The sequence below is a fragment of the Homo sapiens genome, chromosome 2, assembly GCF_000001405.40.
Source record: "Homo sapiens chromosome 2, GRCh38.p14 Primary Assembly".
In the NCBI taxonomy this organism is placed as follows: Eukaryota; Metazoa; Chordata; class Mammalia; order Primates; family Hominidae; genus Homo; species Homo sapiens.
This window is the reverse complement of record NC_000002.12, coordinates 60,394,732-60,422,231: the sequence shown is the minus strand read 5'-3', so window position 1 is coordinate 60,422,231 and position 27,500 is coordinate 60,394,732. Positions and strand designations below refer to the sequence as shown.

Here is a 27,500-nt window from a genome sequence, read left to right as displayed (position 1 = left end):
TGGGGGAGACTACAAAGTACCTTCTTAAGGGTGGGGGAGATTACAAAGTACATTGATCAGTTAGGGTGGGGCAGGAACAAATCACAATGGTGGAATGTCATCAGTTAAGGCTGTTTTTACTTCTTTTGTGGATCTTCAGTTACTTCAGGCCATCTGGATGTATACGTGCAAGTCACAGGGGATGCGATGGCCTGGCCTGGGCTCAGAGGCCTGACATTCCTGCCTTCTTATATTAATAAGACAAATAAAACAAAATAGTGTTGAAGTGGCGAAAATTTTTGGGGGGTGGTATGGAGAGAGAATGGGCGATGTTTCTCAGGGCTGCTTCAACGGGATTAGGGGCAGTGTGGGAACCTAACGTGGGAGAGATTAAGCTGAAGGAAGATTTTGTGGTAAGGGGTGATATTGTGGGGTTGTTAGAAGAAACATTTGTCGTGTAGAATTATTGGTGATGGCCTGGATACGGTTTTGTATGAATTGAAAAACTAAATGGAATAAGAGAAGGAAAAAAAAAGGTATAAAAGGTCTAAGAATTGGGACGACTCAGGACATCTGATTAGAGAGTGCCTAAGGACATTCAGCATAGCCCTGCCAGCAAAGATTATTCATTTACTTCAAGAGTTAAGAATGGCAGTTTGGGGATAGCATGAGGCAAGCGTGATCAGGGTGAGGAACAGGAAAGAAGGAAATATGGGGAAATGGGGTGAATATCAGGTGGATCAGAGAGATACAGTCATGAGGGTCAGGTGTGGTATCCGGAATAATGTGGGAGGCCGGATTGAAGTCCGGGCCAGGAACAATGGTAATTGTGGGAGACTCAACAAAGAGTGAGTACAGCTGAAGGAGCCGGGGAGCAGAAAGTGTATGTGTCAGGTGTGAGGAAGAAAATAGATTTTGGAAATTATGAGAGCTATAGAGAGTGAGTTGAGCATAGTTTGTGATTTTTAGGGCCTCTAACAGTATTAAAGCAGTGGCAGCCGCTGCACGCAGACATGAGGGCTAGGCTAAAACAGTAAGGTCAAGTTGTTTGGACAGAAAGGCTACACGGTGTGGTCCTGGCTCTTGTGTAAGAATTCTGACTGCACTAACCATGCCTAGGAAGGAAAGGAGTTGTTCTTTTGTAAGGGATTGAGGTTTGGGAGATTAATCGGACACGATCAGCAGGGAGAGCATGTGTGTTTTTATGAGAATTATGCCGAGATAGGTAACAGATGAGGATGAAATTTGGGCTTGACTGAAGTAATGGGGGCTGTCTGTGAAGCCTTGCGGCAGTACAGCCCAGGTAATTTGCTAAGCCAAATGGGTGTCAGGGTCAGTCTAAGTGAAGGCAAAGAGAGGCTGGGATGAAGGGTGCAAAGGAATAGTAAAGAAAGCATGTTTGAGATCCAGAACAGAATAATGGGTAGTAGAGGGAGGTATTGAGGATAGGAGAGTATATGGGTTTGGCATCACGGGGTGGATAGGCAAAACAATTTGGTTGATAAGGCGCAGATTCTGAACTAACTTGTAAACCTTGTCTGGTTTTAGGACAGGTAAAATGGGGGAATGGTAAGGAGTTTATAGGTTTTAGAAGCCGGTGCTGTAGCAGGCGAGTGATCACAGGCTTTAATCCTTTTAAAGCGTGCTGTGGGATAGGATATTGGCGTTGAGTGGGGTAAGGGTGATTAGGTTTTAATGAGATGGTAAGGGGTGCATGATCAGTCGCCAAGGAGGGAGTAGAGGTCTCTTATACTTGTGGGTTAAGGTGGGGGAATACAAGAGGAGGACGCAAAGGAGGCTTTGGATTGGGAAGAAGGGCAGCAATGAGATGCAGCTGTAGTCCAGGAATAGTCAGGGAAGCAGATAATTTGGTTAAAATATCTCGGCCTAATAAGGGAACTGGGCAGGTGGGGATAACTAAAAAAGAGTGCTTAAAAGAGTATTGTCTAAGTTGGCACCAGAGTTGGGGAGTATTAAGAGGTTTAGAAGCCTGGCTGTCAATACCCACAACAGTTATGGAGGCAAGGGAAACAGGCCCTTGAAAAGAAGGTAATGTGGAGTGGGTAGCCTCCGTATTGATTAAGAAGGGGACGGGCTTACCTTTCACTGTGAGTTACTGGAAGCTCGGCGTCCGTGATGGTCTACGGGGCTTCCGAGGCGATCGGGCAGCAACAGTCTTCAGCCGCTAAGCCGAGAAGGAGTCAGTCAGAGAGCCTTGGGCCAGAGTTCCAGGGGCTCTGGGAGTGGCTGCCAGGTGAGTTGAACAGTCCAGTTTCCAGTGGGGTCCCGCACAGATGGGACACAGCTTAGAAGGAATCCTGGGCTACAGGCATTCCTTGGCCTGGTGGTCAGATTTCTGGCACTTGTAGCAAGCTCCTGGGGAAGGAGGTTCTGGAGGAACTCAGTTCAGGCGTTTGGAAGTTCTTGTGTGCTGGAGATGTGGCTGGGGTTTGTCTCACAGTGGGGGCAAGGAATTGCAACTTTTTTCTATTATTGTACACCTTGAAGGCGAGGTTAATTAAATCCTGTTGTGGGGTTTGAGGGCCGGAATTTAATTTTTGGAGTTTTATTTAATGTCGGGAGCAGATTGGGTAATAAAATGTATATTGAGAATAAGATGGCACTTGACCTTTTAGGGTCTAGGGCTGTAAAGTATCTCAGGGTTGCTGCCAAACAAGCCATGAACTGGGCTGGATTTTTATATTTGATGAAAAAGAGCCTAAACGCTATCTGATTTGGGATAAGGAAAAAGGAGCATTAACCTTGACTATACCTTTGGCTCCAGCCACCTTTTTAAGAGTGAATTGCTGGGCAGGTGGGGGAGGGCTAGTCACGGAACGAAACTGTAAGCCTGACCAGGTGTGAGGAGGGGAGGCGATAAAAAGATTACAGGGTGCAAGAGCGGAGGCTGAGGAAGAATTGGGACCTAGCTTGGGCTGGTGAGGAGGGGAGAGGTCACATGGGTCTGTAGAAAAGGAAGATTAGAAAGACTCAGCGACACTTGGGGTTGGGACTGAGGGGACAGGCGGGAAGGAAAGAAGGAAGATTTGGGACAAGTTGCACTGGGCAGAGACTAGGAAGGGACTGATGTGTAAAGGAATGCCTGGACGTCAGGCACCTCAGACCATTTGCCCCTTTTACGACAAGAATTATTTAGATATTGTAGGATGGAAAAATTGAAAGTGCCGTTTTCCGGCTATTTGGAACTACTGTCGAGCTTGTATTGGAGTCAAGCGGCATTGCAGAAGAAAATAAGGCATTTAGGTTTTAGGTCAGGTGTGAGTTGAAGAGGTTTTAAGTTTTTGAGAACACAGGCTAAGGGAGAAAAAGGAGGAATGGAAGGTGGAAGCTTACCCATAGTGAAGGAGGCAAGCCCAGAAAAAAGTAGAGACACAGAGAAGGGGTGGGGGGTTCTTGCCCTCCAGAAAAGCAGAGAAGGGGTTGGGGCACAGAAATAAGGGATTGGGGCACAGAGATAAGAGGTCAGGGTGTGGAAATAAGGGATTGGGGTGCAGAGATAAGAGGCTGGGGTGTGGAAATAAGCGATTGGGGGTTTCTTGCCCCCTAGGAAAGCGGGACTTGCCGCTGAGGGTGAAGGAGAAGGGGTTGAGGGGTAGTTGCCCCTGCCTCAGGAAAGCAGGACTTGCCGCTGAGGGTGAAGGAGAAGGGGTTGAGGGGTAGTTGCCCCTGCCCCAGGAAAGCGGGACTTGCCGCTGAGGGTGAAGGAGAAGGGGTTGAGGGGTACTTGCCCCTGCCTCAGGAAAGTGGGACTTGCCACTGAGCGTGAAGGAGAAGGGGTTGAGGGGTACTTGCCCCTGCCCCAGGAAAGCGGGACTTGCTGCTGAGGGTGAAGGAGAAGGGGTTGAGGGGTACTTGCCCCTGCCCCAGGAAAGCGGGACTTGCTGCTGAGGTTGAAGGAGAAGGGGTTGGGGTACTTGCCCCTGCCCCAGGAAAGCGGGACTTGCCGCTAAGGGTGAAGGACCAAGGCAGGCGTCCCTGCGTGGTCTGACACCCTTGAAACGTGGGTATATAATCAGAGAGGCGTCCCTGCAATGATTAAACATCAAGGGAAGGCTGCCTTCCCAGTCCGTGACTGGCGCCGGAGTTTTGGGTTCACGGATAAAACATGTCTCTTTTGTCTCTACCAGAAAATGAAAGGAATTGAAATTAAGAGAAGGGAGAGATTGAAGTGTGGCGCCAAGATTGAAAGGAGAAAGAGGTTGAGGGATAGTGAGGGAGGTTGGAGAAGAGAGTAAAAAGAGGCCGCTTACCGGATTTGAAATTGGTGAGATGTTTCTTCGGCTGGTCGGTCTGAGGACCTGAGGTCGTAGGTGGATCTTTCTCATGGAGCAAAGAGCAGGAGGACAGGGGATTGATCTCCCAAGGGAGGTCCCCCGATCCGAGTCACGGCACCAAATTTCATGCATGTCCCTGTGAAGAGACCACCAAACAGGCTTTGTGTGAGCAATAAAGCTGTTTATTTCACCTGGGTGCAGGCGGGCTGAGTCTGAAAAGAGAGTCAGTGAAGGGAGATAGGGGTGGGGCCATTTTATAGGATTTGGGAAGGTGATGGAAAATTACAGTCAAAGGGGGTTGTTCTCTGGCGGGCAGGGGCGGGGGTCACAAGGTGCTCAGTGGGGGAGCTTTTGAGCCAGGATGAGCCAGGAGAAGGAATTTCACAAGGTAATGTCATCAGTTAAGGCAGGAACAAGTCATTTTCACTTCTTTTGTGATTCTTCAGTTACTTCAGGCCATCTGGATGTATACATGCAGGTCACAGGGGATATGATGGCTTAGGTTGGGCTCAGAGGCCTGACAATGTACCCATAAATCTCCTTTGTAATTCCTGCTTCTGGCAGTGAGGTTTCAGAAAAAGTTTGTTTCTGGAGTGTGTTATCTTCTTCCCTGTATCTTCCATTATATGCCACCTTGTAGGCATTGGAGGGGACTTCTGCTCTATTTTCACTGTGTTCTTATAAGCCTTCAAGCAGATAGGGTGAGTATTACCGTCCTCATTTGAGAGAGAAAACCATGGGTGGAGAAGTTCAGTGATTTGCCTGATGAGTAAGGAATAGGTGGTTTAAAAACCATGTCCCTGATTTCTGGTTTATAGCCCATCCCATCTCACCAAAATACCTGGGAAGGCCAAAGCTGGCTTGAAGCAAATGGCAGGGAAAGGGAGTCTGGTTATAGAGGGGATTTTGATGAGAAGTCACTAAGCTTTCTTAATAATGTCTTGTGTTGATAGATGCACAGGAAAGGAGGAGGCATCGGGGGGACTTGAAGACCAAATTCTGACTTTCTGGCACAGCCAACTGATTGACTTCTAAGAGCTCCAGTTCTGTGACGTAAATGGCTCTGGTGACAGACAGGAGAGGACAAACATTACTAAAAAAAAAAAAAAGTGGGGGGAGATGTGATGTAGCCAAAAGGTCAACAGCCTTGAGGACAGAAGACCTGATTTTTTTCGTAGTCTTAGGGTGCTACCAATTCACTGTTTAACTCTGTGACCTCAGTCTTTCCAGTTCTTGTTTTGCTCATCTATAAAATGTGGACTAGATGATCTCTGAGACCTTTCTAGCTCTTTCTAGAAGGAAGCTAAAGTCAGACAGACATGAAATCAACTTCCATTCTATTCTTTGGCGATTGTTCACCAGATCCCAGACTCTAGGAACCCTAGCTTGTCCTAGAAATCTCAAGTTCTGGGGATCTTGCAACTTTCCCTGATTGTGAAACAGTGACCTTGGCTATGAGAAGAAAACTGGCCTCTCCCGAGTCACCACTTCCTTGTGCCACTGCCAGAATACATGACACCAGCCAAGAGTTCGCATTCATCATCCTCACGTCTGCCTGTGACTCTACACCATTCCTTGCCTTCTGCTTTACCCTCTCTCGCTTGGCTTTCACCCTCCCCGCCCCCAATCACAGCCGCATTGCCAGAGATAAGCACATAGTTTACTATGGCTCAGGAACCATGGGGAAATGCAAGATAGGTTCCTTGTCCTCCAGGAGCTTAAAACATAACAGGGAGAGAAATTGATCAATAGTCAATGCAAATCCAATCAAAATCCCAGCAGGCTTTTTTTGTTGAAATTGACAAACTGATTCTAAAATGTATGTGGAAATGCAAATGCCTAAAATAGTTAAAGCAATTTTGAAAAAGAAAAACACATTTGGAGGACTTATACAGTGCTATCTGACTTCAAAACTTGTGGTGTTAGTGTACAGACAGACAGGATCAATAGAACAAAGTCCAGAGATAGACCCATGCATATAAGATTAACTGAATTTTGACAAAGATGCACAAGCAGTTTAATGGGGGAAAGGGCAATCTTTTCATCAAAGGAGCTGGAATAATTAGAATTTATATGCAAAAAAAGAACTTCAACCTACAAGTCACACCACACACAAAAGTTAACTTAAAGTGGATCACAGATCTAAATGCAGGGCAACAACTATAAAAGAAAACATGGAGAAAATCGATGTGACCTTGCATTAGAGAAATGCTTTTTTTTTTTTGAGATGGAGTTTTGCTCTTATTGCCCACACTGGAGGGCAATGGCACGATCTTGGCTCACTGCAAGCTCTGCCTCCCGGGTTCAAGCGATTCTCCTGCCTCAGCCTCCTGAGTAGCTGGGATTACAGACATGTGCCACCATGCCTAGCTAATTTTGTATTTTTAGTAGAGACGGGGTTTCTCCATGTTGGTCAGGCTGGTCTGAAACTCCCGACCTCAGGTGATCCGCCAGCCTCGGCCTCCCAAAGTGTTGGGATTACAGGCGTGAGCCACCGTGCCCGGCCTGAGAAATAATTTTTAAATAGGACACACATGCACACACAAACCAAACTATTAAATAAAAAATTGATAAATCAGGCATTATCGAAGTTTAAAACTTTTGCTCTTCGAAAGACACTGTTAATAAAGTAAAAAGACAAGACAGACTGGGAGAAAGTTTTTGCAAAAAATACATCTGATAAAGAACTTGTATCCGGAATAAATAAAGCACTCTCAAAAGTCAATAGTAAGAAATCAATGCAACACAATGAAAATGAGCGAAAGATTTGAACAGACATTCCACCAAAGAAGGCATGGCAAATAAACACATGGAAAGATGCTGAACATCATTAGTCATTAGGGAAATGCAAATTAAAACCACAAGGAGATATCACTACATATGCACTCGAATGATCAAAATTAAAAAGACCAACAATAACAGGCACTGACCAAGATGTGGAGCAACTGGAACTCTCATTCACTAGAAATGCAAGATGACACAGCCACTTTGGGAAGTACTTTAGTGATTTCTTATGTAGTTAAATATGCACTGACCGTATGACTCAGCAATTTATCTGCTAGCTATATTCCCAGGGGAAATGAGAACATACATCCACACAAAGACTTGTATTTAAATGTTCACAGTGGCATTTTGTTATGTTAAGGAAAACTGGAAATAACTGAAATACCCATCAAGTGATGAATGGGTAAACAAATTGTGATCTATCCATACACTGGAATATTACTCAGCTCTAAAAAGAGCTGAAGTACTGAAGTACTTTATGCATGCAACCATATGATGTGTTGAGATGCATGCAACAATGTGGATGAATCTCAAGGAATATGCTATGTGAAAGAAGCCAACCACAAAGACTACATTCTGAATGATTGCAAAATGCAAAACTCTAGACAAGGCAAAACAATAGTGATAGAAGACACATCAGAGATTCCCAACAGCCATGGGGCCTGGATAGGGGATTGATGGCAAACAGGTGAGAGATAATGTCAGTGTTCTACACATCACTGTGCTGGTGGTCATATGGTTGTATATGGTTGACAAAACTCATTCAATTGCGCACTTACAGTTGGTGAATTTTTGTTGACTACAGAAAATACAATGTGGAGAGAGAACATGTTTGTGTGAAACAAACAACGCAAGTTAGAGTCAGAGAGAATGCCCAAACCAGAGCCATAGACTGGGCACTATAGAAGATAAAAAATGGGACCTGGAGCCCCCAACTCTGTGTGAGATGATCCAAGAAAGGTGGGAGAAAGGAGACCAACGTGGGTGGGCATTGAGCACTTGGTAGGATTGGCAAAGGAGGAGGGGGAAGGGCAGGGGCTCAGCCTGTGGGCAGAACCCTGGGGAATGCCAACTTCTACAGGTTGGGCAGGGCAGCGGTTCCAGCCCTGGTGGTTTTGGTCAGCATCTTTACAGTAAGCCGTGGGGAAGTGTGGAGTTGCTCGAGTGTGGCAGTGCTTTTGGCCTTGAGCCCCACATGCAGGTCACTTTCATCAGAACAGGAAAACGAAACAGGCTCCCCTGAATGATTTATGGGAGGGCTTGTGTTTTGGGGATGTGATACTGCAATTTGTGTTATAGGACCAAGACATCTGTTTCCAGGGAGGTGCGTTCTCTTACCATGAGCCTTTCCCACGAGGGATCTTTTGCCCCCTTAAGAGTTATCCATTTTATCTTAGTTGCATGTTAGCATAATGGGCCTTCTGGTGACAAGTGGCCTCACCAGGACCTGAGTGTGCATGGTGTGGGGCCAACTGGGAGGTGAGCAGGAGCTGTCTCGGTCTTACCCTGTCCCTCGGATGGTGTCTAGCCGTGCAGTAAGCTGTAGGATTAGGGAGCATGCCATCTGTGAGATGGCACAGGCAAACTCCCACTTAACAATTAAGTTTTAGCCATTTATTTGATTAAATTTCAGTTATGCTAACTGTCCCCATGTGGATTAATGGCCCATGCTGGGGAGCTCTGCTGCCAGCAGATCTTGGCCCACAACCCCTTCTCACCAGGAGGTAAAGTTCCCTGGGGAGGCCTGAAGCCAGGGGTGTGCAATTGTAGAGTATCCTGGCTAGGGGAGCTTTGGCAAGGTTCTTGCTCAAGTCCTCACATCACAGAGGACAAAACTGAGGCTGGCTTCAGTCACCAGGAGCCAGTATGGAAGGGACCCACATAATGGCCACACAGCCTGTCAAGTGTTGAGTCACTTGACAGTTATTTGACTCATTCCTTTTTGTCTACAAGCAGTGGGGGCATGGCATGGTGCATGTAGATGGAAACACAATGTGTACCTGTGACGGACAAGCACCCCACCTCCTACCCCTTCTCAGAAGGGGAATTTGGGAGGAGGTTTGCCCCTGCCCACTTTCCCCTGTCAGACAGGTAGAGGAAGAAAGCCCCATGCGGAGTTTGATTGGGGAGGGAGGGTTAGTACTAGCTACCCCTTATTATTATTATTATTTTTTTAACCCTACCTCTGTCTGCTTTTAAAAGGAATCATGAATCCTCAAATCTTAGGAAGATTTTTGTCTGGTATGACTCCTGGGAACTTTGGTCAAAGGGTGTCTGAGATTCCTGAGGCCCCACCCTGCCCAGTTTTAATACTCCTCACTAATCCCTTTTCACCCCGAGGCTTCGTCCATACGGTGCTCCCTGTCTCCTAGCATGTCTGGGTGAATCCTGCTGGCTCCTACCCCGCCAACCTCCTGCAACCCATGATCCCCATGAGTCCATTATGCAAGATTGTGTGTGTACCAGTGCCTTCCCCTACACTGTATGTGGGATCGAATATTCATTGTATAAGTAAAATTAAAATGTATTAACTTTCCTTCCAGATGCCCCCTGATAGCAAGTTTAATTACTCTGGACATAATTAAATGAGTTTAGGAGATTAGAAAATATAAGGGGGTAGTGAAGACTATAGATTTATTGGGAAAAAAAGGAAAATTTAATTCTGAAGTCTGTTGTCATTTGGTGGCTAGAATGCTGGGGCCTGGGAGGGATGGGGGAGATACTTTGGTAATGGTGGAATGAGGTCTTCAGGAGGCTTGAAGCAGTTTGGATGCATCAGTCTCTTGGCCCACAAATGTAGAAATACAGCAGACTTATGCCTGGGCATCTTTCCTCTGATGCAGTGCGGTATTTTCCTGCAAGAGCCAGGAGCTTGGGGCAGGTGTAATAACTGAGGAAATGGATGCGCCAGCAGACAGCTGTGCTGTGAGCCTCACCCTTCCGTTCAAGGGAGCTTGCCCATCTTGCCATAGCCTTACCCTCTTGTGATAGGCTTTCCTGGGACCTGCAGCAAAGTCTGCAAATGTTGAGAGTGTCTTCAGTCACAGAACTGACTCCCCGGAGGGCTCGCTGCCTTGCTTTTCTCTGGTCCTTGTTCATCGCATACCTCCAGGCAACTTCAGCCTCACCTTTGCCCTAAGGTAAGGAGCAAGGGTTGTATGGTAGCTTCCAGGTGGAGCCAAGAGACCCTTAGTCTAGTTGGTTCATCATATGCTGTATTTCTGCACTAAAAAACCCAGACATACACATGCACACTCAGCTCACACATATACACTCACTACTGACACATACATATACACACTCACTTGCATGAACAGCCGCTCACATATGTTCACACTCTCACTCGTAAACTCACATGCATGCACACATTCTCATATACACATGTATGTACACTTGCACATACACATTTGCTCATCCACACATACATACACTTACTTGCACAAAGATACACTCATGCATACTCGCGTCCACACACTCAAATGCACACACACAGATATACACTCAACAGGGTGCTCCAAACTCAAAGGTGAGTGTTTTGGAGAAGTTATCCTCTTTTTGGTTAGTTTTCCTACAATTCCTTCTTTTCAGAATCTAGTTTTTCAGCTGGAGGAGGTGTCCTGCGTCTGAGTGAGAAAAGCTGTTGTGGTTTCTTAAATTTTTTAGCTGCACAGGCGGAAGGATATTCTTCCTTGTGGTTTAGAATTACATCTAGAAAGTTGCAAACAGATTTCCACAGCCTCCCTTAAGGTGCCTTCTTGTGCTGTTTTAAAAAGGAGGGCTCTAGAGAAGGCACTGATATATATATTTTTTAATAAAAGGAAAAATAAAATACAAGGACATGGAATGAATAAGGAGAGTGAAGGGAAAACAAGCCCGAGGAGATAAAGTGAAAATTCTCTTACATTTGAGACTTGGGTTGGAGGTGGGGGTTGGGGACTGCCAACTGCTATAGTGGTGTTTAGAAATAAAGAGTCTGTGTTATGTCTAGTGGTCCTAGTATTTTGTGTTACTCTGACCCCGGCATTGTATCATTTCAATGCATTCAGGGTGTGCAAACGTTCAGTCCTGGTTAGAGGAAGGTATTTTGTATCCAGGCCAAATCTACATTTCAGATTTGAAATGGGGGAGCAGGGGCGAGAAAGGGCAGGGCTGGCAGGGGCGAAGGTCAGTGTTCGCAGTTCCGAGACCATGTTTAATATCACATGACACCTTTGTCAAACAGCACGTCCGTCCCCCCCCCCCCCCCACCCACAGGGGCTGTCTGGGTTTCTGTACCTTGGGGACTGTCCTCTGAGTTGCCTTCCCACCCAGACTCTCAGACTTGCTTTTCGTAAACCAGAAGAAATGAATGAAATTTGACCTAGTCCACATTTTTTTTAATGTGGTGGCATGAGAAGCCCTGGAGGGTCATGTTCCCCCTCCTGTGCCTGGTCAGGCCTGTCTGCATCCCCCTCCTGGGGTCCTGTGGCTGTCTGAGGCCTTGGGGATTGACTGGAGGATGCGGGGAGGGGGAGTGGTGTCGTATTTCGTGCCTGTGTCCTTGAAGGTGAGCCTCGGGTCTGCAGCCCAGGGTCGGGTCATCTCCTGAAACCTCAAAGGTGATGAATTAAACCTGGGCGGTCAGATGCATTTGAAATGGCTTCAGAGAGCAGCGATTATGGCTTCTGAGTTTCGGGGCTGTCTGTTGCCCTGTGGAGCGGGGCAGGAACAGGGGAATATGGGCTGACTGCCGACCTTTCATTTCTGCGGCCCAGAGTTCACCTCTGGCTTTGGTCACCAGAGCTTGATGATCTTCGCCTGAGCCCTGGTAGATATCTGTCCCTGTCACCATAGTCCTCGAAGAAGACCCACTGACCTGGAGGAGACCTTGGCCGGGAGGGTGCAGTGACACACCTCAAGGATGCTTTAGGAAAGGGGGCAAAACTGGTGGATACTGTAGTCACTTTCCTTCTGCATCCTTCAGACACTGATTATTTGAAGACCAGGAAGAGGAAGAATGAGCTCCCAGTGGAGAGCAGTTTCCCAGTCATTGCTTTAGACCTGCAGCATTGTTGAAATTTTACTTGAGATTTATGAAAAAGAGATACATCCACGAATGAGCGCAAGTAGCAAAGGCAGGACTTAGAGACACACAAACCTGAGTTCAGATCCTCAGTATCACTTGAAACTGTGCCTTCTCTGAGATCCTTCCTTCTTCATCTGGAAAATGGAGACAATACTAACTCAGCTGCGAGGTTATTGTGAACATGGCATGAGTTATTGCAGGCAGAGTGCCTGGCATGTAGTTGACTCTTAATATACATTAGTCATTATTTGGTAAGATTTATATCCAGCCCTTATTTCAAAGAGTTAGAGCAATTTAGACATAAATCTGTGGGGCAAAGACAGAGTTTTAAAATGTACATTTGGCAAAGGGAAAGGGAGCCCGCTCAGAAATGAGGCTTGAATTCCTCAATGAACGAATACGTCTGACCAAAACACGATTTCCCTAATTTTAGGAAGCTGCAGAATCCTTCACTCCTCCATGCATTATGGAATCCTTCCAGAAACCGAGCAGTACCCCCAGGACGAGCATGAATGCTCGACACCCTGTTTAGACCAGCTGCCGTTTTGGAAGATGTTCTTAAATAGATCAAGGTCAATTTTACCTGCTTAATGACCTGCTTGGACAAAGAAGCAAGGTGCCAGAAACAAGTTGGGGAGATCGGACAGTGGCATTGTGCAGAAAAGCCCCAGCCTGGGGGCTGATTACTCACACTAGCAGCCTTGGCCCTGCCCTGCCTGCCCTAAACCGGCTTCCAGGCTGCAGAGGTTGCTCTTTGAAATGAGACATAATCTTTGCAATATGCCTGGAACATCACAGATCACACACAGCACGTCATTAATTCCTATTTACATGAGTTTCTTAATTCATGTTTTCTCTACTCTTAAAAATTTGGGTCCCTTTCAGTGTGGGAGATGTCTGCTCATGCTACTTCACAAGTTCTAAAATCAAGCAAAAAGCAGGACAAAGTGGGCAGGGGGAGATACTGTCATATGGCAGAAAGAGCAAGAACTACATTTTACTTCTCATGTCACCAATTAGCCAACCATCAAATCTTGGGTAGTTCAGGCTCCTCCCTGGTGTCTCAGCTTTTAGGTCTGTAAAGTGAGGTAATGGTATCCACTCTTGCTATGACTTTGTTTTGAAATGCGTTGAGATAATGCATATGAAGGAGACAAAGTGTTCTGCATATTGTTTACCTCTTTAGCCTTTGAGTCCTCCTTGGAGAAGCTAAGCCGAACTTCACGTGGCCAGATAGCCTGGGTTGGGACACAGCGTATTTCCCCAAATATGAGCAATCATCATCGAAGACCCTAACAGGGCAGTCTAGACTCACTCAACCCAGTGGCAGTCTAGAGGGCTGGACAAACTGCTGGACATGCCCAAGGGTTCAATGCTCCCCCAGACTTCAGTGTGAAATATGGCAAGATCTTCAGAGGTATCCCTGTGATGCTCAAAAGTCATGAAACTTGTTGGGACAGGTTGGTATAGAACGGGAGTTGGCAAACTGCAGCCCAGGGGCCAAATCCAGACCACCGCCTGTTTTTGTATATAATGTTTTATTGGAGCACAACCATGCCTGTTCTTTTATGCATCTATGCTATCTAAGTCTATGGCTGCTTTCAATGGCAGAGTTGAGTAGTCATGACTGAGACTGGCCCTCAAAGCCAAAAGTATTTACTATCTGGCCCTTTACAGGAAAATTTTTCCCTACCCATGGTAAAGAATATAGATTAAAATGTGCTGTCATGCAAACCTCCTAAGAATGTGTGGCTTCCCCAGTTTTTAAGCTTATTTTACTTATGAATTCCTATTTATATGTCAGAGGAGTTAGTACTGATTCTGGACTCAAGAGTGAAACAAGTGAAGTATCATTTTATTTGTTTTTTTTCCTTTTTTTTTTTTTTTTTTGAGTTTCCTCTGTGCAAAAGACAGAAGAAAGTTGATCGTCTATATGCCAGGCACTTTACTTATGCCATCACCTTTACTATTTATGATAACCCAATGATTTAAATGTTTTACACATGAAGAAATTGACCTTCAGAGAGGTTAAGTAACTCAGCCAAGATCACACAGCCAGTATGGGATGAAGCTAGGATTTCAATTCAAGCCTGTCTAATTCAAATGCCAAGTTCTTCCCACCAGAGGTTGCTGCCTCCATGCCCTTTGGCATGCTCTTTGAAAGCCCCTCAGAGACCAACTCTAGAAGTTATTAGCCCTTGGAAACATGAACTAAAGCCAGTGAATTACTTCTTGGGGCATTTTGTAGCCTTAGCTCCAATTGTGAAGTAAAAGGCTTGCTCACTTGCAGAAGGGATTTTAGGCATCAAATTGAGTGATGAGAAGGACGTTCTTGGGGCTAAGGGATGCTCAGCAGAGCAAGTTTCCCCTCCAGGTCTGACCTGTCCTTACTGGTCTTTGCTGTGTGGGAGCTTGGTGGTGGCCCTGCATTTTGAAGGCAATGGGAGTGTCCTGGATTCTGGAAGCAGACTGGACATAGGGAACACTATCTGTGCTGGCTGAGCTGAGCTTCTGGACTGAAGCCAGCCTGGGAGAAGAGGCATCTGATTCGTGATAAGGATGAGGGGCCAAGGGCAGCTGCAGCTGCCCTCAGCTTAATATATGGTCAATCTTCTGATGAAAAGGCTGAGGGTTAAAGGTCAGCTTTGAGTTGACTCTCAATATACCTGCCCTCCTCTTGCTCCCTAGGGAAGGGATTTTTTTCTGTAAGGTTAATTCAGGGTAAACACATTTTAGGGAGAAGCAGAAATGGTAAAGACGTTAAACATTTTTTTTTTTTAAAGGAAGGAAGCTAGTGATTTATCTGTTACACTCTGGGTTGCAGATCTTGGTAGTACACATATCTAATTCTTTAAAGGTTTGAAGCTTCTCGGGTTATGAAGGGATGATAAATAATAAATAGTAATTAAATTACAGATGCACACACTGGACCCCTCTGAACTCCAGGAAGTTTGAAATTGGAGTCACCCTTCATCATAATTAAGATTCCCCACTGAGGATGTTCTGGCTGGGCTGCGTGGAAGGGACTTCACGGAAGCTCCTCCACAGCCTTCTTGAGCTGTCATAGTTTGGCATCCCCTGGTCTAGGAGAAGCAGAGGCAGAGAAAGAGAGCCTAGGGTGGGGCTGGGGCTGCATCTGCTGGGAGAGGAAGGGGAGAGGCTGTGGGGCAGATAGACATTTATGGGAGGAGTTTAGAGCTATTTGTTCTGGATCCTCTGGGTCCATATTTATCAGATCTCTGTCCCCTAACCTGAGAGAAATTTGGGGAATAAAGGATTGCTCATGCAATGAAATTGTGTAGTTCACTGGTTACTGGGGTGTTTACTGGGAAAGTTCGGAAGAGCCAGGGTTGGCTCTACTGGAACAATATGGGGGCCACGATGGGGGCTGAAAGGGCAGATTCTTCAGTCTCAGTTAGAAACCTTGAGTCACCCATTTACCCAAGGCTGAACCACCAGAGTAATGTTGATACTCAAGCCATGGCCCCAGGCACTATCCACGATAGCACATTGCAGCTCATGCTTCAGGTTACGGGTTTTGAACAAATCAGAAGCACTGGGCTAATAACTCCTGGAGGGGGAGGCCAGAGAGATGTGAGGGTCAGTCTTCAAGGAAGCCTCCATGGACAGAGGACTCGAGAGCATCTGGAAGGGTGTGGGGGAGGAAGAGGCGGACAGAGTCCTGGGAAAGTCTGTGGGCTGAGGGATTGGTGTGTGGGGGCTGAGGTGGGCAGGGCTGAGCCTCTGCTGACCTCTGAGTTAAGGAAGTCTCTCTCTCTCACACACACACACACACACACACACACGCAGTCATACAAAAAAAAAAAATCCAACACTTTGTGGTCCTGTTTATTCTCAGACAGGGAGTGGACAGCCTTTCGGAGGTGTCCGACTGTGCCGTCCAGCCAGACTGACATCTGTGGGAGTTTAGGGTTTTAAATGTTTAGTCTGCGCAAGCCCCCCAGGCCCCAGCGGGCCCCAGTCCTGATAGGCCGGACTTAGCCATTGACCCCCACCCCCTCCTGAGAAAGGGAATCCATATGGGGTTTGTAAGAGGAAAGCTCAGCTCCCCCTGAAGTCCAAGGCGGAGGAGTGGTCCTGGGCTGTCATCAGAGTTGTAGAGAACCTCAGCCTGGGGACCTAGATGGGACTGTAGGTCAGAAGCTGCACCCTCCCCAACCTTCAGCCAGCTGTCATTTTCTCCTCTGCAGGGGAATGGCCAGGGCCAGGCCCTACATCTGGCCTGGGCTTCTCTGTTCCCATAGCCCTTCATCCTTACTGCTGTCACTGCCCTGACACACAGGCTTGTAATTATTTGTCTGCATGTCTGTCTCCCCTGCTCCTCCTGCCCCAAGTAGCTCTGTTTCTTCAAAAATTTCTAAGTCTCCAGCTTCTAGCACGGTGCTTGGCACAGATCTTTTGTTTAGTTAAAGCTCTTGGAATTGGGCTGCTCTGAACTCAGCTGAACATGCTTGTCAAAAGCCCCAGAGTCCCCTGGGCATGACGGAGTTTGGGGCACACTTAGGAAGAGGGCTCTGCAGACCTCTGAGCTCGCTGTCTGTAGAGTCCTGGGCCACAATCCCAGAGTAACCAGTAGGCAGGGGCTGCCCTTTGACATCATGTTCAGCTGTGGTTGTCGTCAGCCTGTTTGGTGATGGAAGAGGGACAGCTGGAATCCATGGGGACAAGGAGGGGAGTTGAGGGGAGCACTTCTGTGCTGGAGCATGTGCGGCGGTTGCTGCTTTTCTAACTAGAAGTTCTGCAGGGGCTGGGACGGGGCATGCCCTGGGAGTGATGTCAGATTGGGTCTAATAATCACCTACTTCTTGCCTGAGTAGCAGCAAGCAAACCACAGGTAAGTAAGTCTGGTTTAAAAAATACATTATTCCTGAAAATTTGCTTCTTAACCAGTTTATGAAACACTTTGTCCCTCAGGGTTCCCGGGGACTAAAGGGTGTGAAGATGCATAAAGTAAAACAAACAAGTTCAGAATGCAAATTATTTACATTGATAAACATAATTTATCTTCTACAAATCAATTAGCAGAATACAAGTTGCAAAAAAAAAAAAAAAAAAGGAAAGACACAAACAGATATTTATTAAAATTGTGTCTAATGTATTTAGTGAGCTGCTGAATTTAGTGGTAAGCTCCAGGAAGAGTCCTCGTCCTCCTGGGGTCTCTCTTTGGCAGCTCCTGCAATTTAACCGGTTGTTCTCTGGCCATGGAAGCTTGAAGTTTGGAGATTCTGCATCTTTTCATGCCAAGGACAACTCAGGAGATAAGCCTGGCTTCACAGTTCTTCAGTCTGTGTGGTTTGCTCTAATGTTGATCTATCTACCTACCTACCTATCTATCATCTATCTATCTATCTATCTATCTATCTATCTATCTATCTATCTATCTAACTATCATCTATCAATCTATCATCTATCTATCTCTTATCTGTCTATTATCTATCAGTTATCTATCTTATCTATCTATTCATCCATCCTTCCATTTAACATTCCTAAAGAGCCTACTTTGTACATTGTACAGCACTGTGACATTGCTAAGGTGATTCCAAAGAAATGGGATATCCTTGCTCTGAGAAACTCACCATCTAATTCAGAGGTTCTTAACCTCTGCACTGTTGACATTTTGGGCAGGAGAATTCTTTGTTGTGGGGGTCTGTCCTGTGCATTATAGGATTTTTAGCAGCATCCCGGGCCTCTATCCACTAGATGCCAGTATCACCCCCTCCCCCGAGTTGTGACAACCAAAAATGTCTCTAGACATTGCCAAATGTCCTTGGGAGTGGAGGGTGAAATTGCCTCTGGTTGAGAACTGCTGGTCTAATTGGAGACAGACACAAAGTAACCTACGTGCTTTAATGGATGCATGCTCAAAGGATTATGGGACTAAGGGCGGGGAGCAAGGGTATGCTTGAGCTGCATCTTGAACAGTGTGTGGAAGTTTGCCAGGCACAGCAGAGGGGTAAGGGCATTTTATTCTGAAGGAACAGTGTGCATGGGTGCGAAGGCATTAAAGAGCATGGCGGGCACGGGCAGAGGGAGCTGGATGTGGCTGGTGTGTAGGCTGAATGAGGATAGGAGGAGGAGGAGATAGGACAAGGAACCAATAAAACAGGCCAGGAACAGAATGAACAGGACTCTGACGCATTTGGACTTCATCCTTTTTCTGACATTGGAACCAATAAAGATCTTCACACTTAGTTAAGCCTGGGGTGGGGTGGGGTGGGGTGGGCTGCTAAGACACCACTCATGCACTAACTAGGCACTCAAATAGAATAAAAGGGAGGTAAGTGACTTCTACCTGGCCTTCCTCTTCTTTGATCATCTTCCCAACCTTTTTTTTTTTTTTTTTTTTAAGATGGAGTCTTTCTCTGTTGCCCAGGCTGGAGTGCACAGGACAGACCCCTGCAACAAAGAATTCTGCCGCCCAAAATATCAATAGTGCAATCTCCGCTCACTGCAACCTCTGCCTCCTGGGTTCAAGTGATTCTCCTGCCTCAACCTCCCCAGTAGCTGGGATTACAGGCACCTGAGACGTCACCATCTCAAATATGGTTGTTCAGCCTCAAAGCTGAGCAAACACAGTCTTTAGTGCCGGGCTAATTTTTGTGTTTTTAGTAGAGACGGGGTTTCACCATGTTGGCCTGGCTGGTCTCGAACTCTGACCTCAAGTGATCTGCCTGCTTTGGCCTCCCAAAGCACTAGGATTACATGTGTGAGCCAACATGCCCGGCCCCCAACCTTAATTAGAAAGTAGAAGTAAAGTGAAATGAACGTAGTTTCTATCTTATTTGTCATGTGTAAACCAAGGTTTTTCCTGGGAGCAGAGGAGTGCATGAATTCAGAGTTACTGTGGAAGAGGTGGCCATCTCCTTTCCATACTATATAGTTGTCACTGGGGAGGAGCTGCCCAGCCAGGGAATCCATTTCTTCGTCCCTTTCTTACATTGAGCAGAGACACAACAATTCCTCACCAGGGGAATGTGAGTGAAAGTGCAGTGTACCTCTTCCAGGCCAACACTCTTCTATATCCCTTTCGTCTTTCACCAACCTTAGGGAGTGAAACTTCCGTGCATGGCAGAGCCTCATGACAGAAGGAGCCTGGCTCCTTGAAAGACCGGGTGGAGAGAGCTGCTCACAGGTTGGAGCACTGCCCAAGATGTTACATGAGCAAGAAATAAACTTCCGTGGTGTTTAGTCACTGCATTTGGGTCTATTTGTTACTGCACCTTAGCCTATGCTAACAATTATAGAGTCTGCCTTTGCTAACTCACACCTAAAAGGTCAGATGTCTATTTTGTTGCCAACACTAAAGACTGTGCTTGCTCAGCTTTGAGGCTGAACAACCATATTTGAGATGGTGATGTCTCAAGTGATGTGTGTGTATGTGGAGCAGGGGGAGTGTGAGGTGCTGGCTTGATCCGCATTCCCGTGGCTTGCAGTAAGATTCCCAGATGGCAGCTGCCCTCTGCACTTTTACCCTTCCTTTCCACTCACCACCCATCACTTCCCCCACTGTTCCCTTCATCCCCCTGTGTCCCATCGATGAGGAAGCCTCCCCATGAAAAGCTGGAGGAGCTCTGCCTTGGGGTTTCTGCTAAGTCACCAGGTTGAGAACTTGCCGCAACTCCTTGGACAGTACGAATGCCCATTGCTTCTCTTTTGGTGGTCTGGGGCTTAACACTCCAGGCTATCACTGCATCATCTGGTCCAATTGACTGCATCTAAATAGTAGAATTCTTTCTGTGCTCCTGAAAACAAGAGGGCTGCTTGGCGTGTGTGTGTGTGTGTGTATGCGTGCACACACGTGTGCATGCTGTAGGCCTGATATTAGATACAGACAAGTAAAATGTTATGCTTTTTTTTTTTTTTTTTTTTTTTTTTAGATAGAGTTTCACTCTTGTCTCCCAGGCTGGAGTGCAATGGCGTAATCTTGGCTCACTGCAACCTCTGCCTGCTGGGTTCAAATGATTCTCCTGCCTCAGCCTCCCAAGTAGCTGGAATTACAGGTACGTGCTACAACATCTGACTAATTTTTGTATTTTTAGTAGAGATGGGGTTTCACCATGTCAGCCAGGCTGGTCTCGAACTCCTGACCTCAGGTGATCTGCCAGCCTCAGCCTCCCAAAGTGTTGGAATTACAGGCGTGAGCCACTGAATCCGGCCAATGTTATGCATTTAAGTGTGGGGAGCAGAAGACTGGATATGCAAGAGCATACATCTGGATACCTTTTACCTCTTGGCTTGTGGGGAAAATGACCTGCAGGATTTTACATGGAGCTTCCTGTGTGCATGCTGGTGACTGTTGGCAACAAGGTGTCAGGAAGAAAGACATTGCTTTCCAAACTCCTTTTCCCAAATGATCCTTTCTTACCCAGTCTGCCTTACCTGCTTCTGTACTGTTCAACAGAGGAGGGGGAACAGGGAAAAGCAGGGGCAGTTGTGAAAAATAGAAGGGAAACTTGAGTGTGCCTTTTTCTTCTCCTTCTCTTTCTCCACCCTCAGTCATCATTAACAGAAAAATATTTTTAAAAGATCCCTTGATGGCATCCCCAAATGTTAAGTCTGACATTTTCTTAGCTGATGGCCTCCTTTGTGAAGGTACTTTGTGTCCGCCCAGCATGCCTGCTGGATCCCTGGTTTGCCGCAGTTGCTGAGGTAAATACTCTTTCCATTAAGCACCACAGCCCAAGAGTGGCCTAAAGCTCAAATAAATGACCAAGAAGCAACTTAAACATTCCCTGGGGCGATTTTAACCTATGCAATGGCTTTTTGAAAAAATTGCCTATTTTTTCATGTTTTGGCCGGGGGGGTGTCTCTTATTCCCTTCTTTTTTATTTTCCTTTCAGCTGAGTACACCTTCTCTTTCATTTATTCATGCACTGCATGAAGGATGGAAGCAGGATGAATAAATCACAGAGCATTGCCCCTCTCCCCACTCAGGGTCTGTGAAGAGAGCTGGAGCAGAATACAGTCCAGGCATTATGTCAACTTTCAGGGGACCTGGGGCAGGTGGCCGATTCTCACAGAGACCCCACTTCCCTTTCCTGTGAAAAATACCACAGCCCAACAGCCACTGGAGAACAGTGTTCTTCTGGAAGCTTCCTCTGGGCAGGAGGAGTCAAAGATCCTGGTCCTCAGGGACACTTGAGATGGGTGTGCCCAAAGCTGTGCAGGATGGTTTGGTTTGTTTTGTTTTTCTTTGCCTCAGGAAGAATGTGTTCACAAACCTCAGGACAAATCGTTTAAAAAAGTGTCCTGACAGTTGTCATGCTTCATCACTTGATTTAGAGGCAATAGGACAGCCTTATTTTCTTCTAATCTCTGGTGGTTGAGGAGTCTGGTTGGCCTGGCAGAAGGCTGAGATTGGCTGAGGGAGTCATGAGCGAGCAGGGGCCTCTGGTGCCTGAAGCGCCCCTCAGGAAGAGCGGGTCTCACCGGAAGGCCACACTCATCTCCTTCCTGGTTACCCAGTGTGGGGATTTGCTACTTTGCTGAGTGTGTTTTGTCTACATTCATGGTGCTCCAGAACTGTGTCTGTGTTTCTCACATTCTCTTTCGTGTCTGCCAGAGCAACATTCTCAGCAAACCATCTGAATGCAACTCCTGTGATCACAAAAGTCAATCACTGATGGAAATGAAGACCACGACCCTGATTCCTCAGGTTGGCCCTTTTCAAACCACGTTTCTCAGAGCTCCAGGAACAACAGGAGTTCTAGGGAGAGTTTTTTTTTTTTTTTTTTTTTTTTTTTTTGAGGCAGAGTCTTGTTGTGTCACTCAGTCTGGAGTACAGTGGCTCAATCTCGGCTCATACTGCAACATCTGCCTCCCGGGTTCAAGCAATTCTTATGCCTCAGCCTCCTGGGTAGCTGGGACTATATGTGCACACCACCACGCCCAGCTATTTTTTTTGTATTTTAGTAGAGATGGGGTTTCACCATATTGCCCAGGGTGGTCTCGAACTCCTGAGCTCAGGCAATCTGCCTGTCTTGGCCTCCCATAGTGTTAGGATTACAGGCGTGAGCCACCGCGCCCAGCCCCAGGAGAGATCTTTTTAAAAACGTGAATAGATCACGTTAGTTTGCTCATTGCACTTGGACAAAGCTGCACCCTGAGAGTGTGGCCTGCCAGGCCTGGTGACAGCGTCTCTTGGTCTTTGCCTGTGGTGGTCTCTGGACCCTTCAGTCTTCTCCATGGTGCCTGCCTCAAAAGCTCTTCCTCCACTGTTCACCTGTTTAACTCCATGTGTCCTTCAGTTTCCAGCTTGAATGTCTGCCCTCAGAAAGGCCTTCCTTGACCCCCCAGATGAAGTCAGTTTCCCCTAAAGTGCACGAGGCCCACATGAAATTACTTAGTTATTTGGTTAATGTGTCTTCCCCACTAAACTGTAAGAGCCACAGGAGAAGGGGCGAGTCTGTTTCATTTTCAGATGTAGCTCTAGCCTATGGTGTATAGTAGGTGTTCAACAAACATGTATTTAATGAAAGAAGGAATGAGAGCATGGCACTGCCTCTCTATGCTGAAATGGTGTCTGGACTACTTGTTTTTTCTTTCCCATTCATCAGATGATCAGTCAGCTGTTTAACAGAGCAGATTAAAGTAATTTCGAGAGCACACTCTTTTTTTTGTTTTTGTTTTTGTTTTTTTTTGAGACGGAGTTTGGCTCTTGTTGCCCAGACTGGAGTGCAATGGCACAATCTCGGCTCACTGCAACCTCTGCCTCCCGGGTTCAAGCGATTCTCCTGCCTCAGCCTCCCGAGTAGCTGGGATTACAGGCATGCACCACCACACCCGGCTAATTTTGTATTTTTAGTAGAGATGAGATTTCTCCATGTTAGTCAGGCTGGTCTTGAACTCCCGACCTCAGGTGATCCGCCCACCTCAGCCTCCCAAAGTGCTGGGATTACAGGCGTGAGCCACTGCGCCTGGCGAGAGCACACTTTTTAAAAGGGAGGGAAGATTGGGCCTTTGAAAGCATCTTGTTTGGGCCCTCAAAGAATATAGACTTTATTTATTTACGATGGAGACTTGCTGCAACCTCTACCTCCTGGGTTCAAGCAATTCTCTGCCTCAGCCTCCCGAGTAGCTGGGATTGCAGGTGCCCGCCACTATGCCCAGCTAATTTTTGTGTTTTTAGTAGAGACTGGATTTCACCATCTTGGCCAGGCTAGTTTTGAACCCCTGACCTCATGATCCACTCACCTCGGCCTCCCAAAGTGCTGGGATTACAGGTGTGAGATGCTGCGCCCGGCCTAAGAAAGTAGTCTTTATTTCCCTTCCTGATGTGGGAAATCTGAGCTCCTGATATGTGTGTACTGGGTCTGGATCCTGGATTCTTAGGAGTGACCCGGATGTTCTGGAGGCTGTCCAGGGCCTGGGAGCAGAGGCCTCACTGCCCGTTGCTGAGGCCTGACCTCTTTGTTCAAGCAACCCCTTTGCCAAACCACCTTAGGCTACAGCACCAGGCTCCGAGAAAACCTTGGATCAAGATATTAAGAGAATAGTTCTGATACCTACCTCCCTTTCCTTTGGAAAAAGCCCAACTTTATGGACCTTTTAGGAAATATGGGAGGGGAAGGCCCATAATGTAACTTGGGCAGGAGTAGGGGGTGGGGGCGAGATAGAGGAGAATTCTTAGGGTTTTGGTTCTTGACTCTAAGTCAGTCTGTTTTTGTACTTGTGTCTTTTAAGCTTTTCCACATGTGCCCCAAGGGCCCATCGGTGAGTGTGTTTTATAAACTGGAAAAATGAATAAAAATAAGACCCAGAAGGGAAACACCAGAAGGAGTGTGAAGGGAAAAGTGTTAGTTCCTCTGTACCTCCCAGCTAGGCCTGACCTGCATTTGTGGGGGTCCCAGGGTCAGGCTTATTTGGCTTTATGGGTAAAATGTGGAGTCTTTGCTCAGAGAAAGCCTGATCAGTTTTTGTACTTGGCCTGCTCCACTCAGCATTAATTAACTTCAGGAAAGTAAAAGGTGATTCTTTTTTATTTGGCTATCTGGCTCCACAAACCTTGCTGGCTTCCTGTCCCATAGGTGCCGGATTGATGGAACCTCAAATGTGTAAAGTCTTGCACAGGAAACCCCCCAGCATGGCCATTCAGAGGCTCTCAACTCCTGCTGGACCCAAACACAAGAAACCAGGAGGCCCAGACCCCGTCTCTCATTTTGCACCTCAGTAAACAGTACCTCGAAAGAGAACTCCATTTTCTTTTCTTAACGTTCTTCAGCTAAAACAAGAGTGTAGGGAAGGGGCTACTTGGAAAAGAGATTCTCTAAATTGCCTGAAAAATCGATCACAACCCAAGAACCAAGTATTTTGAAACACAGCATATTTAGGAAGTTTGAGGAAGCTTTAAAATATCTCCAGAAGGTTTGTGTTTAGCCCAGCACGATGTCTGTCTTGTGACCCAAAGGTTTATCTTCCGAACCTTACTTGAGCAACTTCATTAATAAAAACATTTTTGAGAATGCACATCTAACACGTATATACTTATTATAACTTTTGTACACATACTGTTGAACTAATATGTTCTGTTTTTTTAAACAGATACATATTAAATATGTATTTTTACATATTAACATTAAACAAATACATTAACATTAAACAATGTATTAACATTAAACAAATACATATTAAATATGTATTTTTAAAAACACATATCTAAACACAAATTTAAAAATTGATACCGATGAAATAAATATTTAAAAATAGGGCTGGGCGCGGTGGCTCATGCCTGTAATCCCAGCACTTTGGGAGGCCGAGGTGGGTGGATCACCTGAGGTCAGAATTTCAAGACCAGCCTGGTCAACATGGTGAAACCTCATCTCTACTAAATATACAAAAAATTAGCTGGGTATGGTGGCGGACACCTGTAATCCGAGGTACTCGGGAGGCTGAGGCAGGAGAATCGCTTGAACCCAGGAGGCAGAGGTTGCAGGGAGCCGAGATCGTGCCATTGCAGTCCATCCTGGGCAACAAGAGCAAAACTTTGTCTCAAAAAAAAAAAGATTTTGTCTATTAACTATCTGAAACCCTTTTTGTTCTCATTAAAATATATTATTATTAATCAAATTTCTAGTGAGAGCAATGGGATTGGATAGGCATGATTATTTTTAAAAATCTTGGTATAATACTTTGTGGCACAGTGAGTCAAAAGCCTGGCTCTGATTTTCAATACTTGGGCGATTATAGCTGAGAAAGATATATGAGACATATAAATCTGAATGGAAGAAGGGAACTAACTGGACTCTCATTTCTGATTCTTGGCCACTGTGAAGGCACAGGTTTTCATCTGTCACTATGTGCTAAAAGCAAACCAGCAAGTGAGGGTGTCACTGTCAACTGCTCCTTGTCGTGAGATTCCCACCTTTCCCTCAAGACATCTCAGATATCATATGTAACCTTGACCCTGTGTCCCACAGCAACAGCGGTCATTGAGTGTAAAGCCTTTTCCTTGAGGATTGTGGTAGACAGAATGCCCCCCAAAGGTGACTATGCTTGAATCCATGGAAACTGAACATGTCACCTTCTATGGCAAAAGGGACTTTGCAGACGTGATTAAGGTTAAAGACCTTAAATTAGAGGGAGTACCCTGGACTATCCAGGTGTCTAATCTAATCCCATGAGACTTCAAATGCAGAGAGCTTTCTCTGGCTGGAGTCAAAGAGATGTGACAAAAGAGGTCGTCGGAGAGATTGGAAGTGTGAGAAAGACCCGACCTACTGTTTCTGGGGAGCCCACCTGGAAAGCACGAGAAGGGACACAGGCAACCTTTGGGAACAAAGACTGCCAGCCACAAGGAAAAGACAGCAGTCCTCTAGCCACAAGAAACCGAATTCAGCCAGCAACCTGGACAAGCTAGAAGAGCATTCTTCCCCAGAACCTTTAGGAGGAAGTGAGGCCTTGCAGATACCCTGATTTTGGCTTTTGAGACACTAAACAGAGGATCCAACTGAGTTCAACTGGCCCAGAAACTGAGATATGTTTGGACTGTTTTAAGTTGCTACGTTTGTGGTAATTTATTTTGGTGGCAACTGAAAATGAATGTAATTGTATATTAGAAAAATTGAAGGTAGAAGCTCTAATACTTTCTCCCCACACCCCAGTGGTTCATCATGTGCAGCACTCAGGGTGTGGAAATTCCATTTTGAAGACACCGTCTTCCAGGATTCTAACCCCCACCTGGGAAAGGTCCTGGAGAGAACTTCTAGCATGTATTTCTGAGCCATTCACATTTAACCCAGAGAGAGAAGGTGTCCTGCCCAAACGCAAAGCAGCATGGCGGTAGTTCTGGACATAACCTTAACAATTGCCAGGAACTCTCTGGATGTCCATCCATCAGCCCTATCTAGTCTTTTTGTCTGCATGGCATTGTGGGGGATGTGGCGATGAGGGCCAGGATCGCAGAAGTCAGAGTACCCGTGGCTGGAGCTTCCATTTTAAATGAAGTGTTCTTGCTTATGGCTTGATGGTATCCTTTCAGATTTTGCATCTGGCTGTACTCCAGATGTTTATATAGAAACTTCACAGTAGACATGATGGTGGCGTAGGTTTGCAGGAAGGATCCTTTCCTACTTACAGAGTGACCCAATGTGGCCGATCCCTTCAATATTTACAACAGCTGGGTGAGTGGAGGCATGATCAACTCCATTTACCCGTCAAATAAATGAAATTTCAGAGCGGTTACACAATCTGCTTGAGGTAACAAGGCCAGCAAGCCACAGAGCCAACATACCCCTGGTGCCTGGCTCCACAGGAGTCTGGGAAGAGGGAGAGGAAGATGGGGACAGGATGTATCACCAGGATGCTAGGGGAAGAGAGAATATTGACGTGTGGGGCAGCCTGCATCCCCAAATCAGGAGCACTGGGTGCTGCTGTGTTACAGTGAGTGTAGGAGCATGCCGTTCTGGGCTTCACTCTGCCCAAATATGTCTTGCTCATTTTCACCGCCATATGGCTGCTCGTCCCGGTCTGTTTGAGGTTCCTTCCTGTTCCCTCTCTGCCTCTAAGTCCTTCAAAAAGCCAACTGGAAGTGCCTCTTCCAGGCTTTCCTTAGCCTTTCTTTATTCCCTTGAACTTCTATTATGTTAATTGTTCAAAAGATTAGTTCTGACACTTACCCTATGCTGCTTTGTATTACTATTGGAAAACAACAGTAGCTCTCTCAACCCATTGGGTGGATGGTACATGCCATGCTTTATACATTCCCGTGGCCCTGCTGTACCTGGCACACACAAAAGGGGATTAATAAATATGCATATGTTGAATGAAAGAATGGAGAGATGCTGTTGATTTTCTTTGTTCTTCTTTCTTTTTCTCTGATTTCATGTCAAACATAGTTTTCTCCCTTAATAACAATAATT

The 27,500-nt window shown here is 46.2% G+C and overlaps 1 protein-coding gene and 1 long non-coding RNA gene across 8 annotated transcripts in view, besides 2 other annotated features; both read left to right on the top strand.

The window, feature by feature from the left end:
* The window catches only part of LOC124906010 (uncharacterized), a 37,651-nt gene extending 17,588 nt beyond the window's left edge, over window positions 1–20,063 (top strand). For 3 of the 5 annotated variants that reach the window (XR_007086331.1, XR_007086329.1, XR_007086328.1), the window contains 2 exons: window positions 19,192–19,276; window positions 20,022–20,058. Coding sequence is in view for 1 of the 5 variants with exons in the window: in XM_047446573.1 (XP_047302529.1) it covers window positions 19,192–19,226 (35 nt within the window). In the remaining 4 variants the exon portion in view is untranslated. Of the gene's footprint in view, window positions 1–10,097; window positions 10,199–19,191; window positions 19,330–20,021 lie in introns of those variants that run through there. The other 2 variants (XR_007086330.1, XM_047446573.1) reach the window with 2 other exon arrangements.
* Window positions 8,406–8,535: an enhancer, noted in NCBI's record as "active region_15803". NCBI's record gives its function as "activates an Ori minimal core promoter by ATAC-STARR-seq in GM12878 lymphoblastoid cells {active_cell/tissue: GM12878}" and the evidence as "EXISTENCE:reporter gene assay evidence [ECO:0000049][PMID:35858748]".
* Window positions 9,006–9,055: a silencer, noted in NCBI's record as "silent region_11509". NCBI's record gives its function as "represses an Ori minimal core promoter by ATAC-STARR-seq in GM12878 lymphoblastoid cells {active_cell/tissue: GM12878}" and the evidence as "EXISTENCE:reporter gene assay evidence [ECO:0000049][PMID:35858748]".
* Window positions 20,064–20,103: 40 nt separating the features above from the next.
* LOC102724142 (uncharacterized) lies at window positions 20,104–27,409 on the top strand. Of its 3 annotated transcripts, none has more exons than XR_001739489.1 (3): window positions 20,104–20,144; window positions 21,707–21,799; window positions 24,171–24,821. It is a non-coding gene; the product is annotated as an uncharacterized LOC102724142 (long non-coding RNA). The 3 variants fall into 3 exon arrangements; XR_001739488.1 differs by having other exon boundaries at window positions 20,105–20,144; window positions 20,985–21,799; XR_007086327.1 differs by lacking the exons at window positions 20,104–20,144; window positions 24,171–24,821 and adding an exon at window positions 25,416–27,409 and having other exon boundaries at window positions 20,255–21,799.
* Window positions 27,410–27,500: the final 91 nt, after the last annotated feature.